Here is a 17,947-nt window from a genome sequence, read left to right on the forward strand (position 1 = left end):
AAGGAAAGGAAAGGAAAGAAAGAAAGGCAGGCAGGAAGGAAGGAAGGAAGGGAGAGAAAGAAAGAGAGAGAGAAAGAAAGAGAGAATGAGACAAAAAGTGTGATAGGAAAGACTGAGGGCCCTAGTGCTGACACCCTAATGGGCAGTTGGGGATGGGAGTTAGTCCAGGGGCCTTTGGATAACACTAAGGTGTAGCCTCAGTCAGATATCTGCAGTTGCCCCAGGACCTCCTTCCAGTCTCAAGTGACAGCTAAATTTTTGTGAAGGGAAACCGGATTGGCAAAAGGCCAACATTCCCAAGACCCAAGAGTGACAAGTGATTGACAGTGTACCCCCAGCAAGCCTGTCCTCTGTGTCTTAAGTCCAGCAACCACACTTGTTGCTTTTAGTTGGCTGAACAGAGGCCCATGTTTTTCTTTCATTCTGGCTAGTGTGTAGTTTATTGACTCCAAAAAAAAAAAAAAAGGATGGAAAGCAGCAAGTCCTCTTTTACTCACTCTCCTGAAGATCCCAGAAAAGCACCTCCAAAAATGTCAGGGGATCCTTGGGGTGTCACTTTGCCAACAAGAAACCTTGGTAGCCAGTGGTGCCTTCTGCTTGAGTGTTGCTCAGGCCCTCTGGGCTTGTTCCACCCACTTGGCCCAGTAGGCTGCACTCAGTTTACGCTACCGGACCGGATCCCTTGCCTGCCAAGGGTGAGCCAGGAGTGAAGCAGTTAGGGATGTGTGAGCAAGGGTGGGGTCTGGTCACTGCACACAGCCAGGCATGCTGGCTGTAGCAGGGCAGGCAGCTCCAGGCCCCTGCTCCATGCAAGGCTGTGGCTGGACCACGAGTACCACAATTGGCTTCCACTTCTAGCACCGGGAAACACAGTGGTACCCAGAAGCTTGGAAATGCCAGGAACCACAGAGCCTCAAAGAGGGTGTTGCAGCCCTGGCTAGGGAAGACCCTAGGTCTAGGATCCCCAAAAGCTGCAGTTCTTCTCTCCTTCTTGACACCTGTAACATGGTGAGGTGGGGCATGTTTCAGCCCCGTTTGTGTTACAACTCTTTCAGTCCTGCTATTCAGCAAGTCCCAAATTCTTGTCCCGTGTCCAGGAAGAATGAGGTCTGTGAACAACTGGAGGGGAAGCAAGGCAGTAGAGGAGCTTCATTGAGCAACAGAACAGCTCTTAGGATACCTGAAGTAGCTGACTCCTTTCCATAGGCAGGTCGTCCAGATAAGTGTCCAGTTCTCAGCAGAGAGGAGACTTGTAGTGAGTAGCTCCTTTCCTTAGGCAGGTCATCCTAACGAGTGTCCAGTTCTCAGCAGAGAGAAGACCTGCTGCAGTTGATAGCTCCTTCCCACAGCTGGTAGTCCTAACGTCTCTGTGAGTGTAGCTGATTCCAGGGTTTTTATGGGCTTCAGAAGGGAGGAAGTGCATGCTGATTAGTCCATGGGTGGCCATGGGCAAGCCTGGAAAAAGCACCGTAAGTTCTCACTCTGAGCCATGGACTCCACCTGGAACTGACAGCCTGGACCCCAGATTTCAAGCCATCCCTGGCTTGAAGGTCTGGCTTTACCGGGGACCTGCCCCTTTTCTTGTCTGCCTCCTGTCATCATTAATCATGTTGTCCAGGCACCCAGGCTGTTTGTGCTGAGGGGTGCATTCAGGCCTACACTGAGCTTCCCTCAGGGCCCCCTTGGCCTTCCTCCCATGTTCATTGGTGATCAAAGTCCAGAGGGGGCTGAGGTGGGAGGGGGCTGGCATTTCAGCACTGCCCCAAGTGCAAGCACACCTTGCCAGGTTGCAACAGCACCCACGCTTGGCCTCAACTTGGCTCCAAAATCAGAGTAGGCACTGGGGGTGGGGAGAGGCCAGGCGTGGGGAGCAGGCACTTCCAAGCCCGTGAGTGAAGGGGGCTTCACAGTCTTCAAGAGCCCAAGGATGTCCAGGTCCACCAGGGCAACTGGGCAGCTGCAGCTGCACCCGGGAGGGAAGGGCTCCTGCCCCACCAACTAGGAAGGGAGCAGAGATTCCACCTGTTTCTGACTCCTGCCAGATCCATGGAGCATGCTGCCAGCTGTGCCTCCCCTGCTGCAGCCGGCATCTTTGCAGCAGTTGATCCAGGTGGGCTGCTGCTGCCAGTCAATTACACTTTTGGATAAATCCTCAATGTAGGCTCCTCCCAGTAAATTATATTCACCATGTAAGACTTCCGTGATTTTACTTACCATTAACTTCACTTTCATGCATTAATTGATTCATTTGGTCAACAAAATATTATTGACATCTAACAAATGAAGCTGTGCTGTATGCTGCATATACAGATATTGCTGATAAAGAGTTAAGTGAAGGAAGTACTTACAGGTTACTAAGGACTGAAGGTGGTGTTTTTCAAAAAAAATCTCAAACCAAAAGCAAAATTATTAAAGAAGTAATATGCTATAATCCCAGAAGATGGATGTAGAAAGAAGAAATCTGAGTGGAATAAAGGACCTTCTACCACCAATATCAGTCAATCCAATAATCAGCAAATATTCTTTTAAGAACTTTCTGTTTTCAAGACTCAATATATAAAACTATCTCTGTTTTTGTGGAACTTACAGCTCTTTAACGGTTGAGGCAGACATGAATAAAATAATCACAAACATAACATTACAGCAGAGTAAGATCTGTGAAAATAAGTCTCACAGTGCCATGAGATAAGGGAAAGACATACTAGGATCAGGGAAGATTTCCTGAAGAAATTAAACTTTGATACAAAGAAATAGAAAATAAACAGATAAATGAAGAGAAAATGAATCTAAGACAGAGGAAGGAACATTTAAAAGGTCCAGTGGTAAAGGCTGAAGTTAACTTGTGTGACTGAAAGAAGACCAGTGTGGTAGAACACATAAACTAATAGTAATATAGAATAATGCCGGATTTTATTAAATTCTTTTATTAAAAACTTAAGCATTTTAAGTAAGGATCTTGGGCTAATTAGAATCTTTTTTAACCAATTGCCATGGTAGAAATGGACAAGAGTTGATAAAGAGGGACAAGTTAGTAGATGTGCCCTGCCGTTGCCCCCATAGATGATTGACATTGCTTGCTCTAGGGAGGAGAATGTGGAATTAAAGAGGGTGGATCCTAGAGATCTGTAAAAGGTAGTATCACAAGAATTTGCTGATGGATATGGAAGATGAGAGAATATGATGTGTTAAAAATGATATATAGTATTCTATTTTGAGAAAGTGGATATAAGCTAATGTTATTTAGAGCTAAGTACCAATTAAAAAGAATCAGGATTGCTTGAAGCGTGTAGGAGTTTCATTTTGGATATGTATGGTAAAAGTGATATTCCTTGAATTATGAAACATTTCTTACTCCTGGGGTGAAAGTGGTAGTAGTACTCAAGTAAGAGACAACAGGAAATTGGTAGTAGCTTGGAATAGATGATAAATGCCTATTTCTTAACAAGGAGGGGTTTTACCGGAGATAAGTTGAAGGATGGTGGCAAGCATTTCACAAAGTAATATTTGGGAATGTTGGATTTATGTAGCAAGAAGCATAGTGGTATAGAGTTTTCTATTTTCTGGTGCAATAGCATGAATTTGGAAGTGTAAAAGAAATATGAACGGTTGAGACCGCTAAAAAAATCAGGATTTTTTTATCTGAATGTGGAATACTTGGTCTGTGTTTCAACTGTGAAAGATAGTAGGGCAATGTTAAGGTCTAAGATTTGGCTATGAATGTAAATAGGCTGCATCTATTATTTTACACTGGTTCTGTCTTTATCTAGCTTTATGACTTTACACAAGTGACAAATTCTTAGCACTATATTTTCTGCTTGTAAAATGGCGATAACAACAATAGCTGTCTTAACAAACGTGTGAATTTTAAATTAATTGTTATGTAAAGTGGGTAGCAAACTGCCAGGAACAGTGATTTCTCCATAATGCTGTTTTTATTATGTACAATACAATTATTATATATAAAACTTTTTATCCCTAGCACTTAGCAGAATAAACTACTAAAATCATTTATAATAGATATTTATTTTGTAGATCTTTTTGGGGAGATTAGAAAATTTTAATACTGTACTATTACCAGCCATTTCTCAATTGGACTAGAGTTCTAATAATTATAAACTTAAAAATGATCATCTACTTGTCAGAATCATTTATTTAGGATATTTATATATGTACACACTATAGTCTCCTCACACTGCAATTTATTCTCATTTTTATTGTAATTCTTATTAAAAGTTAAAATGAAAAAATAATTCCTTTAGTAGTTTATTTAGGTTATCATTTTAAGACACTGCTTGCAGTCACCTGTGGGATATACACTGACATTTACACTCAGATTAGTATCCCACCTAAAACAATGCATTTATAGTTTCTAATACAGCAAATCTGGTGAAGGCTCACTTGACATTTTTAGTACTAAACACTTCTCTTGTGAGAGCACAAGTAAGCTGACACTGAGTAGCCTCTCAACATACGAACAGGGTGTTCTATAATTCAAATAGAAAGAATACATATCATGGTACATAACTTACCAAATCTAAATTATCTGCCACATATATTGTCTCATTTAATCATCACAAGAAACCTGTATGCTTGGCATTAAGTCAAAGAAACAAATAGATATAAGGCATTTCTCGAGTATCATGTGGCTCCATATTAGTGGGCACGGCATTCGTATCTAGCTGTCTAATCTGGTTTCAACATTTGACGTAATGGTCTCTAGATTTGACTTTATTTTTAAGAATTTGAACTGTCTTTGGTGGAGATGAGGTGTAATGCATTCAAGAGAAAATTTGTTTCAATTTATGAAAAAATCTCCAAGTAGCATTCAAATAACATCATATGTTCTTCAAGAAAATGAATGTTCTGTGTTGGAAACACAAAGAATACATATCCTTAGACTTCAGAGTTAGTGCAGTAGAAATTAGAGAAGTTGAAAATGATATTTTTAGAAGTGCACTTGTGACAGATCAGGATTCCTCAAGACTAGAAAGTGGATGTCATAACACACTTATTGGAAAGACATTAAGTGATGACAAGTATGAGAACAGAAAATTGGTTAAGTTAACATAAATTAAGGAGGAAATTATATTAAAAACCCCAAGTACAGAGGATAAATGCTTACACAGACATGTCCCATGCAAAATGAAAAAAATAATTCCTTTAGTAGTTTACTTTGTTTACCATTTTAAGACACTACTTGCAGTCACCTGTGGGATATACACTGACATTTACACTCAGATTAGTATCCCACCTAAAACTATGCATTTATAGATTCTAATATAGCAAATCTGGTGAAGGCTCAAAATAAGGAAGCATATTTAGATAAGAGTAGTGACCTTTAAATGAAATATATTACTATGACTGTATGTGGTTGTCTCATAACAATGGTTGTTCAGTTACCTAGTAGGTAAGGATTAGTTATATAGTCTATCATTGTTACATCATCAACCACCCAAAACTCATTATCTTAGCAAACAAATTATTTATTCACATGAAATCTGTGGATTCCCAGAGAGTCTACTTATACAGGCTATGCTTGGATAGTGGTTCTGCTTCAAGTTGTGGGTCTGGTTGGGCTTAACTGGAACGGGTCTACTTTAGGTCATTCTGGGGAGGTAGTAGCTATCTAGTCATGATGGTTAATTTTATGTGTCAACCACTTCTGGGCCATGGGATGCACAACTATTTGGTCAAACATTGTGAGTGTGTCTGTGAGGGTATTTTTGGAGAACACTAACATTTAAATGCATAAACCAATTACAGTGGAGTACCCTCCTTAACATGTGTGGGTCTCATCCAATTAGTTGAAGGCCTGATTAGAACATGAAGGCTGATTCTCTCACAAGTAAGAGGGAACTCCTCTTGCCTGCCCGCCTTGAGCTGACAATTGTCTTTTTCTACCATTGAACTAAAATGGAAACATTGATTCTTCTTTGGTCTCGGGCCTGCTGGCTTTCAGACTGGAAAGACATGATCAACTCTCCTGGATCTCCAGCTTGCCAACTGCAGATCTTGGGAATTCTCACCCTCCATAACCATGTAAGCCAATTCCTTATAATAAATCTCTATTTCTCACTTTGTCTTTCTCTTTTTCTGTTTCTCTATTCATCTCTCTCTCTCTCTCCACACATGCACACACACACACACACACACACACAGAGAGAGAGAGAGAGAGAGAGAGAGAGGGACAGGGAGAGAGAGAGAGAGAGAGAGAGCGAGAGACTCTTTAGTTTCTGTTTCTCTGGAGAACCCAGAATCGCTTCTCAAGATGATGGTAGGAAGATAAGAAAGAATAAAAGAAACATATGAGTTTTATTAAGCCATAAGCACACTGTTACTTCCATCTGCATTGAATTCACCAGAACAATCACATGTTCAAGTCCAAAGTCAAGGGACAAGGAAAGACATGATAAGTATTATATGGCCAAGGCAAGGGTGAAGATTTGAGGTAATTTATTTATTATCACGATAGAGCAAACATTTTTCTATGAATATTCTCATGAGCTTTGATTTAATGTTTTTTTTTTAATTAGCTTCTTTGTTAATCAAGGCGATAAACCTGTGGAATATGCTTTCTTTATATAAAATGTAAGGATCAGAAGCACAATTTAGAAAATCACACTGTAAAAGTCATTTATCTTCAAAATTTAGAATTCACCCTTAAAATCGCATTGATAAAAACATTACTGCAAAATTAAGAGACAGTAGATGCATTGGAGAAGTAGAACACCTTAAACTTGGGTTTTAGTTTTAGAAGATATTGTCAACATGCCATTTGACTATAGCTACTGGTAGTATTTTCAGATTCTAGTTAAACCTGGAAAATAAAATTTTTCATTGGCCTTCAATTAAATCTCAAAACATACATGAAAAACACTTAAATATGAAAGATATAGACAATGAATGAGATATAAAAATTTCAAAAGTTTTATTTATACTGTCAAAGAAAGTCAAAACATGGCATGCAAAAGCAAGGATTAGACTATCAGAAAAAATGGGTATTTAGAGAACAAGAATGAGATTTTAGGAGCTTAAATTATTATGGCAGAAATATAAAATTCAATGTAAGACTTGAAAAATAATTTGAGCAAAGCTTCTGGAAAATGGCAAATCAACAACAACAAAAAGAGATGGAAAACAGAAACTTAGAACATTTAAAGCATTGACCCAGGAAATCCAATATAATCTACCAAGATTTCCAGAAGGGAAGAGCCTAGAAAACAGAAAGAAAGCCATTATTAAATGATTAACATTTAATACAAGAATATTTCTGCCTCTTTTCCCTAAAATTTTATTTTGGCCTTGTGAGACACTGGGCAGGGAACTCATCCATGCCATGGCAGCCTTCTCACTTACCAAAACTGTGAGTTAATAAATGGCTGCTGCTTAAAGCTGCTAAATTCATAGTAACTTGTTTATAGAAATAGAAAAGTAATACACTATCTAAATTAATGCTTATAATTATTGTAGTTTTGTTCTGAGACAACACTTAAATGTTAAGAACTTTTAATCACATAAAATATAATTTATATTTAAATAAATTCAATGATATGTTTAATTAAGGAGTTGTAATAATGGCACCATATTTACTTTTAAATGAAAGCATAATCAACGCATGAGCAGTTTGAAAATTTGCCTGTGTTTAAAGAGGTTTTGTGTAATAATAGAAAAAGCACTAAAATAGTCACAACACTGACTTCAAGTCCTATGCTAGTTATGGAAGGCAGAGCAAATCGATTTTCTTCTGCATGCTGTATTTCTCATGTTTAAAGTGGGATTTATACTACTTCTCTTTCTCTCATATAGTATTGTGAAATTCTAATGCAATAATGTATACAAATGCACTTTGTAAAGTATAAAACAGTATGTAAAAGTGAGTTATGATTCTTACTAGACTATTGCTAAGAGAAATATTGTTTATGTTTTGTTAATTCAGAATTGTTTTCATAATTTTACAGTAATTAGGTTTCATAATCTAATATAGCTTTCTCAAAAAGATAAGTGTATTAGTGAATGGATAGAGGAATAGATAGTTAAAGATATATTTATTTACCATAGAAATAATTCTGTTCTAGGAAAGGTTTTAAAAATATTTAGAAAACTTCTCTTTCTGCATAAATGATATTACAGAGTTAATATCAATGCAAACACCTCAACTCATTAAAAACCACGATGTAATTTATATACATTTTAAAAGCAAAGTTGCTCAACCAGCAAATTCAAAGTGACAAGGCTCTTTATATCATATATGTGGCATTATTAATTTTAGCATCTCCAATAGATGCTAAAAATAGTATGTCATTAAGTCATAGTTATCCGCAGAGTTTGCTGAGGTCTAACTACTCACAAGTCTAAACTTACAAGGAAAAGATGAAGGTATTAAAAAGCTCATTAATATAAATAATAGAGTGAACAAAATAGATGTTGCTTTAGGCAGTACAATTATTGGTCAATAACTTCTTATTAGCTGTCTGTGTTATCACTGCTTTATTTTAACATTTGCTTCTTATCCTTTGATCTAGTAATTCCCCTTTTACATCCTGGGCCCTTTTTTTAATTTCTGGCAAGCAAACTGACCTCGTAAGATTCAACCCAATCAATCTACACTTAAGAAATTTTACTAAATACTTATGTATTAATATTGAAATCCTTTGTTGTAATAATACTAGTGGCAACAATCATGGCTAACACTATTGTGTGCTTAGTCTTTGAAGTGCTATTCTAAACATTTAAATGTTTTGACACACTTAATTCTTATGTAATAATTGTAAAAGGTGCATGTAATTATCATTCTCATTTTAATAAGGAGAAAAGTTGGGTAAAACGAGTTAGATGACATGCTGTAGGATTAAAGAGATGGAAAATTTGGAAAGTAAATTTAACTTAAACTAGGCCCCTCAATTTAACCTACATTTTTTTATTCAGAAAATACTGAGCAGTTACTAGATTCCACATACTCTGCTGGTATTAAGGACAAAAAGAGACCTGAATCATACCCTTAATGGGTCAGTATAGTAGAGACAACTCTGGAAATAAAATATAGCAATAATTACAGAAAGTAAGCTATACCCATAGACCAGAAGAAATATTTAAAAGTTATTATATTTATTTATATCTCAAAATTACTACCCTGAAATTGAAACACATAGATAACTAAGTAGAGAAAAAGGAGTTAAAGTTACTAAGAGCAATTAAGCAAAACATGGGCTTAAAGACAGGAACATTTTGGAAGAAATTTGAGTGATGTAAATTTTCCTATCATTCTGGTACCTGACTGAATTTACTTATTTTCAAATATAATTTTTGTTGAAATATTTGTACTTCTACATAAAAGAGAAATTTAGAAAATGTAAATTTCACTTAGAAAATTGGTTTGAATAAGAGATCTAACATTTTAGTGTTTCTGAAAATGAGGAGTTGCTATGAAAATTATTTGGCATATATAACTATGCCAATTATTTTATCACTAACAAAAACATATAAACAAAACATCTACTAACAAAAACATATAACCTCTACGAAGTCCAAATATTTATTTAAAATAATTTAATCAATAGCAGCTATTCAGTAAAAAAAATGTAAAAATATAGATATAATTCAAAGTAAAAGAAAAAATGACAACTCTATTAGTGATGCTTTCACAGGATTCCTCCAGGGCTACTTTGCCAGTTGGAAATCTGCAGTCGCTGCTGCCTAAGCCTGGGCCTTGCTTGGGGCCTACTGGTCTTCTTCTGCCTGCTTGGCCCAGTAGGCTGCGCTTGGCTGATGTCCTGGCTTCCTTCCCGCACCTGCCACAGCTCTGAGCTCAGCCCAAGGCTGGACTGGGTGTGCCGTGAGCAGTCTCCAGCTTGGGTGCTGGCATCTAGATGAGGGGAACTCAGTGGCACCTGAAAACTTGGAGATGCCAGCAATCATAGAGCCCCGGGAGATGTTAGAGGTCTTGCTCAGGGAGTTACAAGGTCTGAACCCCCAAGAGATGTCACAGCACTTCGCTCCCATAACTTGGCAAGTGGGAGCTGTTTTAGCTCTCTCTCTCCTGTAGTCGGCCAAGTGGGAGTGTGTTATAGCTCTCTTTTATTCCCATCGCCTGTAGCTTGGCATGTTCTGGGTTCATATCCTGTGACCAAGAGGAATAAGGTGCGTGGACTTTGAAGAGTGAGTTAGGCAGAGAAGAATTTTATTGAGCGACAGAAGGAAAGCTCTCAGAGTGAGAGAGGACCTGAGAGTGGGTAGTCCAGGGTTTTATGGGCTTAGAATGGGTGTGCTGATTGGTCCATGGGTGACCTTTGGAAAAAACACCATCTGGTTAAAAGGCATCATCAAGAAGAACCAATCGAGAAAGAGAGGGTAAGATGGGGATAGAAGTTCTCATGTCTGCCATTGTATTAGACAGGGCTCTCTAGAGGGACAGAACTAATAGGTTAGATGTATATATAAAGGGGAGTTTATTAAGGAGTACTGACTCACAGGATCAAAAGGTGAAGACCCACAATAGGCTTTCTTCAAGCTGAGGAGTGAGGAAGCCAGTCCAAGTACCAAAACCTCAGAAGTAAGGAAGCTGACAGTGCAGTCTTCGGTCTGTGGCCAAAGGCCCGAGAGATCCTGGCAAACCACTGATCTAAGTCCAAAAGTCCAAAAGCTGATGAAGTTGGAGTCCGATGTTGGACAGAAGGAAGCATCCAGCATGGGAGAAAGATGAAGCCCAGAAGAATCAGCCAGTCTTCTCTTTCCATCTTCTTCTGCCTGCTTCAGCTGCCTGGCAGCTGATTAGATGGTACTCATCGAGATTGAGGGTGGGTCTGCCTCTCCCAATTCACTGACTCAAATGTTAATCTGCTTTGGCAACACTCTTACAGATACATGCAGGAACAATACTTTACATTCTTCAATCCAATCAAGTTGATACTCAATATTAACCATTACAGTCACCGACTCTCTGGAACTGGCATTTCAGCTTTCAGGATTCAGGCTGTTTTTGGCTTGAAGGTTGGGTTTCACTGGGAAACTGTCTGTCTCTGCCTAAGTATTTGTTTGTCTCCTATTGCTCTCAATGCTCAAAATCACATATAATAAGATAATAAGAAAATTCTAATTTAAACTTAAACTACCTTAACCCAATTTTTAAAACTATTTGACTCACAAAATTTCTAATGGTTATGACATGTAGTATTGTATTAAAACAGGCATTTTCATGTAATGCTTACAGAAATATTTCTGGTATAATCCTTATGGAAGGAGATTTGGCAGTAGCTATTAAAGTTACAAGATGTGAACAGAAAAGGTGAGAACTACAGTAATAAGAATATAACATACAAGCCTTACTTAGTTCAAGATATGTCAAAATACATGAAGTGAACAAAATATATACATAGCTATAAGAGACCTAAATAACTGAACTAACAAGGTCAGTCATATATATATATTTATAACTACTTACAGTCTACATATATATATATAGAGAGAGAATATGCGTGTGTATATGTATAGAGAGAGAAAAAAGAGATATATAAATATTGATATTGATAAATAAAAATTTTTTAACACTGAAATAGAAAATAAATATTTTTCTCAACTATGCATGAGACATTCACAAAAATTGGCAATATATTATGTCATAAATAAGTTCCACAAAGTAAAATGTGACAAACAATATTCTCTTGCTAAAAAGTAATAAAATTTCAGTACTCTGATTCTACATACTAAATGTAATATATTCTAGTAAGAATAAGTTCTGCAAAGAAATTTTGACATTATTCTGATTGAATTTGTTTTAGATCATGGTATTAAGACTTTGTATGTATTGAATAAATACATGGCTATATATTTATATTGCTTGTAAGCACAGTTCTCAATGTGAGAGAAATACAAATACGAAACAGGAGAAGGAAAGTTTCTTGATGCAGGATTTGAACTAAAGGGTACAAATTTATTTAATAAAAATTAGTTTTTCAAGAAATAATTTAAATATAACAAGTTCACTACTTCAAAGTGTACAATTCAATGAGTTTTGAGAAATGTATGTAGTCTTATAACCACCATCAAAAATATGATATAGAAAATTTTTATAATCATAGTGTATCTCTCCATGCTATTTAATATGCTAATAAACAACTACATATTTAACTGTTTTTAAATTTCTCTCGGTAATATATTGAAATTTTCAGTTTCTAAGCATTGCACAAACTTTGTCAAATTTGCCTTTAATCCAATATACTTCATATACATTAAAGCTATGGTATATTGTATTTTTAACTTTCAATTTTCAAATTTTTGATTTTAGCATAGTGAAATACAATTGATATTTATTTATTGGCCTTGTATACTGTGATCTGGCTAAAGTCAATGATTATTTCTATTGCCATGTGTTGTATATTTTTTATAATTTTTCACTGGATGTGAATAATGTTTTCCTTGTTTCTTTCTGATCTGTCCCTCCCTACCATCTTTTCTCCCTCCCTCCTTTTCTTCCTCTCTCTTGCTCTCTTTCTTTTCCTCTCCTGTTTTTTTCTTTCTTTCCTTTCTGACCTTCAACACAGTGTGGAACAGTAGAATTTTGAATAAGTAAATTGTGAGAATACACATCCTCATCCTTGTCTTGAGGGAAAAACACTCAGACTTTTATTGGCTATATATTGATCTTTCCACTACTAGTATCCTGAAGATTTTTATTAAAGAAGAATTTTATTTTTGTCAAATATATTTTCTGCATCTATTGAGATATCTATGGTTTTGTTTCTAATATGCTAATCCAGTTATACACTTTCAAATAATAAGCTATTCTCATCTTCCTAAAATAAATTCCATTTGTTTTTGATATATTATCCTTTTAATATGGTGCTATTTGTCTATTTTATATAAATTTTCATATTCACTGGCATAGAGTTATTCTAATATTTATTATCCTTTTAGTGTCTGTGGAATTTGTAGCATATCCCTTATTTCTTTGCTATTGGTAGTTTGTGTCTTCTGTATTTCTATTTGTTTCTCATTCATCAGTGTGGTAAGAGGATTTTCAATTGTACTGATCTTTTCAAATAGCCAGCTTTTGCTTTATTTATTTTTCTTTATTTATTACCATTTTTCTACTTAATAGGTTTCTATTATCTGTATTGTCCTTTTTCTTGTGCTAGTATTTGATTGTAATTTGCATTTTCTTTACTTGTTTCATGAAGTAAAAATTTATTTACTTAAGACTTCTTCTTCTAATATAGGCTCTAAATCAAGCTTGTCCAACCTGTGGCCCATGGGTTACATGTGGCCCAGGATGGCTTTGAATGTGGCCCAATACAAATTAATAAACTTTCTTAGAATATTATAAAAAATTTTTGTGTTATTTTTAGCTCATTAGCAATCATTGTTAGTATATTTTATGTGTGGCCCAAGACAATTTTTTTCTTTTTCCAGTGTGGCCCAGGGAAGCAAAAAAATTAGACACCCCTGCTCTAAATTTTTATTTAAGCCTTACGAATATGTCAAATGTTTGTATGTTGGTCTTCCTTTCCCTTCAATTCAAAAAAAAATCTCAAAATTTCTTGTGATTTCTTCTTTGAGCCAAGAGTTCCTTATAGGTATGTTGTTTAATTTCAAGAATTGAGGTTTTTACATATATCTTTTTATTATTGATTTTGGTTTATTCATATTGTATTTAGACATCATATTTTATTTCAAGCCTATTAGATTGATTGGGACTTAATTTATGTCCATAATAAGGTATATGTTATAGTATTTTTTGAGTATTTTTGAAAAAAAAATGTGTAGTTGGCTGTTGTTGAGTGAAGTGTTGTATAAAAGTAAACTTGGTCAAGTTGGTTAATTGTATTATTCAAGTGCCGTCCATCATTATTTATTTCTGTCCAGTTATTCTATCAACTACTTAAAAAAGAGTTTGGAAATCTTGAAAAATTTGCCTTTTCTATCTAATTTTCTTTATGTATTTTGAAACTTTCTTATTATGTATATATTTATTTAAGAATGTTACATCCTACTAATGAATTTTGTACTTTATCCTCATGAGATGAACTTTAGTAGCATTCCTTTTTATGAAATCTTTTTTTGATAATAATGCAGCTATTCCAACCTTCCCTTGATGAATGTTCACATGATATATTTTTCACCCTTTTAAAATCATATCTTTTTGTTTTTTATATTAATAGAGTGTTTTGTGGATTACTTTTTTTATATTTTGACAATATTTGTCTCTTAGTAGAAGCATTTAAATTATATACATTTAAAGTAAACATTGATGTGAGTGGATTTAAAGCTACTATATTATGGTTTTGCTTTATTTTTGTAACATATTTTCATTGTTTTTTCAATTCCTTATTTCTGCCTATTTTCTGGAGTAATTGAGTATTTAAAAAGTAATTGTAATTCATTTCCATTATTGATAGTTTGGTTATATTACATTATTTTATTTCATAGTGGTTGCCATAAGTTTATAGCTTCAAGTATGACAGTCTATTTTCAAATTCTATTGTGCCACTTTAAGTAGACAATAAGAATATTAAACAGTATATATTTTCATTTCTACTCTTCTCATTTGCCTTATATGCTCATTTGTTGTCAAGTATTTTACTTCAATGTAAATTTTAAAATTACACATTGTTACTTTTGTTTACAAGCTCCTTAATTTTAAAGACATTAAGATATGAGGAAATATCCACATATTTGCCATTCTCTATTTACTTTCAGTGGATTCAGATTTTCATCTGATATCGTTTTTTCTTCTGCCCAAAGAAAGTTAATAACAATTTTTATAGGACAGATCTGCTTTGACTTTTGAGATACATTTTTTTGAGTATAAATTTCTAGGATGAAAGTCATTTTTTCTCACCTTTTCCCATTTGTTTTTTAAATGAGTACTTTCTGTGGAGAAGTCGGCTGTCATACTGATCTCTCCAACTTCTGTGTCTTTGATCTCTGTCTGCTGTTAAGATTTTTTTTCTTTTTCAATGCTTTTCAAAAATTTGACTATGATGTGCATTGATGCGCTTTTCATTATATTTATTCTCATTGGGTTTACTGAATTTCTTTTATTTGTTAGTTCACAGTTTTCATCAAATCAGTGTATTCTTAGGCTAATATTTTTTCAAGTATTTTTTCTCCCATTTAATCCTTATTCTCATTGTTACCATGTTTTCAAGCACACTGATCTTTTATTTCTGGTTTTTTATTTCTGGTATTTTTATTTCTGGTTTTCTAGTTATTTATAGCAGTAGAACCATTCCCATAGGATGAGTTATGGGTAGAAGTGGAACTACTCTTGAACTCATTTAAAAAAAATAATAATTTTGCAGATATGAATGTAAGGAAGCAGATAACATGAAAAAAGAAAGACAATATAATACCTTCAAATGAAAACAATAATTCCTCCAGCAAAATATCCCACTCAAAAAGAAACCTATATGACGCCCCAAAAAATTCACAATTATGATACTAAAGAAGCTCAGTGACAAAAGAATTCCAAAAAGCTATAAAATAAAATTTTAAAAAAAAATCAGAATATAAATGAGAAACTTAACAAAGATATGTTATTTAAAAAATGGAAATTTTATAACTAAAGAATTCATGGAATAAATACAGGATATATTATAATACTTCAACAATAGACTAGATGAAACAGAGGAAAGAATCTTGGAACTTATACATAGGTCTTTTGAAATAACCCAGTCAGAAAATGATACAAATTAAAAATTAAAAAGGAACAAACAGTCTTTGAGATATATGGAACACCATAAAGAGACTAAATATATAAATTATCTGTTTCATTTAAGGCAAAGAGAGGATGAAAGAATTTGAAAACCTATTTAACAAAATAATAGACGAAAAGTTCCCAAGTCTAGCATGAGATTTAGACATTAGATACAGTAGGCCCAGCGATTCCTGGATTCAATTCAAAAATTTTTTCTCTACAGCATATTGTAGTCAAACTGTCTATGGTCAATAACAAACTAAAAAATACTAAAAACAGCAAAAGAAAAGTGTCTAGTTACCTATAAAAGGGTCTCCATCAGACTAACAGAGGATTTCTCAGCAGAAATTTTACAGACCAGAAGAGAATTGGATGATACGTTCAAAGTGCCAAAAAAAAAAACCCCAAAAATCCTGCCATTCATGGATACTTGATCCATAGAAACCTTCCTTTGGAAAAGAAGAAATAAATTATTTCCCAGACAAGCAAATGATGAGGGAATTTATTATTACTAAATAGGCCTTGCAAGAAAGGCCCAAGGGAGCCCTAAACCTGGGCATGAAAGGATGACATTTACCATTATGAAAACACATGAAAGTATAAAACCTACTGATAAAACAAACACACAAATGTGGAAAAGTATCAAATAATACTACCACAGAAAATCAGCAAACCACAAGGACTAACAATAAAGGAAAAAGAAAGGAACAAGAACATGTAAATAGCAACTGGAAAACAAATAAGAATATGATAGAAACAAACCTCCCATATTAATAATAACCTTGAATGTAAAAAGAATAGATTATCTATTTAAAACATATAGTCTGGCTGAATGGATTAAAAAATGTGACCCAACTATATGCTGCCTAAAAAAAAACACACTTTACCTGTAAATATACATATATACTGAACATAAAAAGATGAAAAATGATATTCTGTACAAACAAAAGCCAGAAGGAAACAGGAGTAGGTATTATGATATCAGATAAAACAGACTTTGAGTTAAAAATGGTATTAAAAAAAAATGAAGGTCATTCTATAATGATAAATAGATTAATACAAAAAGAAGATATAACAACTTTAAATATATATGCACCCAATACTGGAGGACCCAGATTCATAAAGCAAACATGACTATAATAGATCTAAAGAAACAGATAGACTGTTAATACAATAATGGTGGGGAAACCAATACCACATTCTCAGCATTAGAAAAATCATATAGAGAGAAAATAAACAAAGAAACTTTGGGCTTAAGCTGGATTTTAGACTAAATGTACCTGAGACATTTACAACATTTTTTATTAAATAACTGCAGAATACACATTCTTCTCATTAGTAGATGGGACATTCTCCAGCACTGGCCATATGTTAGTCCACAAAACAAGCCTCAACAAATTTTTAAGAATCAAAATCATATCAAGTATCTTCTTAGACAAAATAGAATAAAAGTGGAAATCAACAGCAAAAGGAACTTTGGAAATTGCATAAATACAAGGAAATTAAACAAAATATTTCTGAATAATCATTGACACATAAAAAAATTCAAGATAGAAATAAAAAATTATTGAAACAAATGAAAATAACAATGCAACATACCAAACTCTGTGAGACACAGCAAAAACAGTGATAAGCGGGGAATTAATAGCAATAGGCATCTATATCAAAAAACTGGAAAGATTTCAAATAAACAATGTAATGATACACGTCAAGCAAATATAAAAGCAAAAAGCAAAGACAAAAACACACAAAAACAAAAACAAAAAAAACACCCAAAGCCCAAACTAGCAGAAGAAAAGAAATAAAGATCAGAGTAGAACTAAACAAAATAGAATTAAAAGCAATATAAGGAATACATGAACTGAAAAGTTGGTTCTTTGAATAGATAAACAAAATTAATAAGCCAGAAACTAGACTAAACAAGAGAAGAGAGAAGATATACATAAACAGAATCAGAAATAAAAAAGGAGACATTACAACTGATATTACAGAAACACAAATGATTATTAGAGACTATAATGAACAACTGTATACTAACAAACTGGAAAATCTAGAGGAAACGGCTAAATTCGTGGCAACAAACAACCTACCAAGACTGAATTAGGAAGAAATAGAAAACCTAACAGACCAATAATGAGTAGTCAGGTTGAGTCAATAATATAAAGCCTGCCAACAAAAAAAAGCTCAGTACTTGGTAGATTAATGGCAGAATACTACTAAACATATAAAGAAAGGCTAATACTAATCCTCTTGAAA

General features: G+C 34.4%; 2 annotated features.

The window, feature by feature from the left end:
* Positions 1,393-1,893: an enhancer, noted in NCBI's record as "H3K4me1 hESC enhancer chr3:165438516-165439016 (GRCh37/hg19 assembly coordinates)". NCBI's record gives its function as "activates a minimal SCP1, AML or CMV promoter by ChIP-STARR-seq in primed H9 embryonic stem cells {active_cell/tissue: H9 hESC(primed)}" and the evidence as "EXISTENCE:reporter gene assay evidence [ECO:0000049][PMID:30033119]".
* Positions 1,894-2,394: an enhancer, noted in NCBI's record as "H3K4me1 hESC enhancer chr3:165439017-165439517 (GRCh37/hg19 assembly coordinates)". NCBI's record gives its function as "activates a minimal SCP1, AML or CMV promoter by ChIP-STARR-seq in naive H9 embryonic stem cells {active_cell/tissue: H9 hESC(naive)}" and the evidence as "EXISTENCE:reporter gene assay evidence [ECO:0000049][PMID:30033119]".

Source organism: Homo sapiens, chromosome 3 (assembly GCF_000001405.40).
Source record: "Homo sapiens chromosome 3, GRCh38.p14 Primary Assembly".
Lineage (NCBI taxonomy): Eukaryota > Metazoa > Chordata > Mammalia > Primates > Hominidae > Homo > Homo sapiens.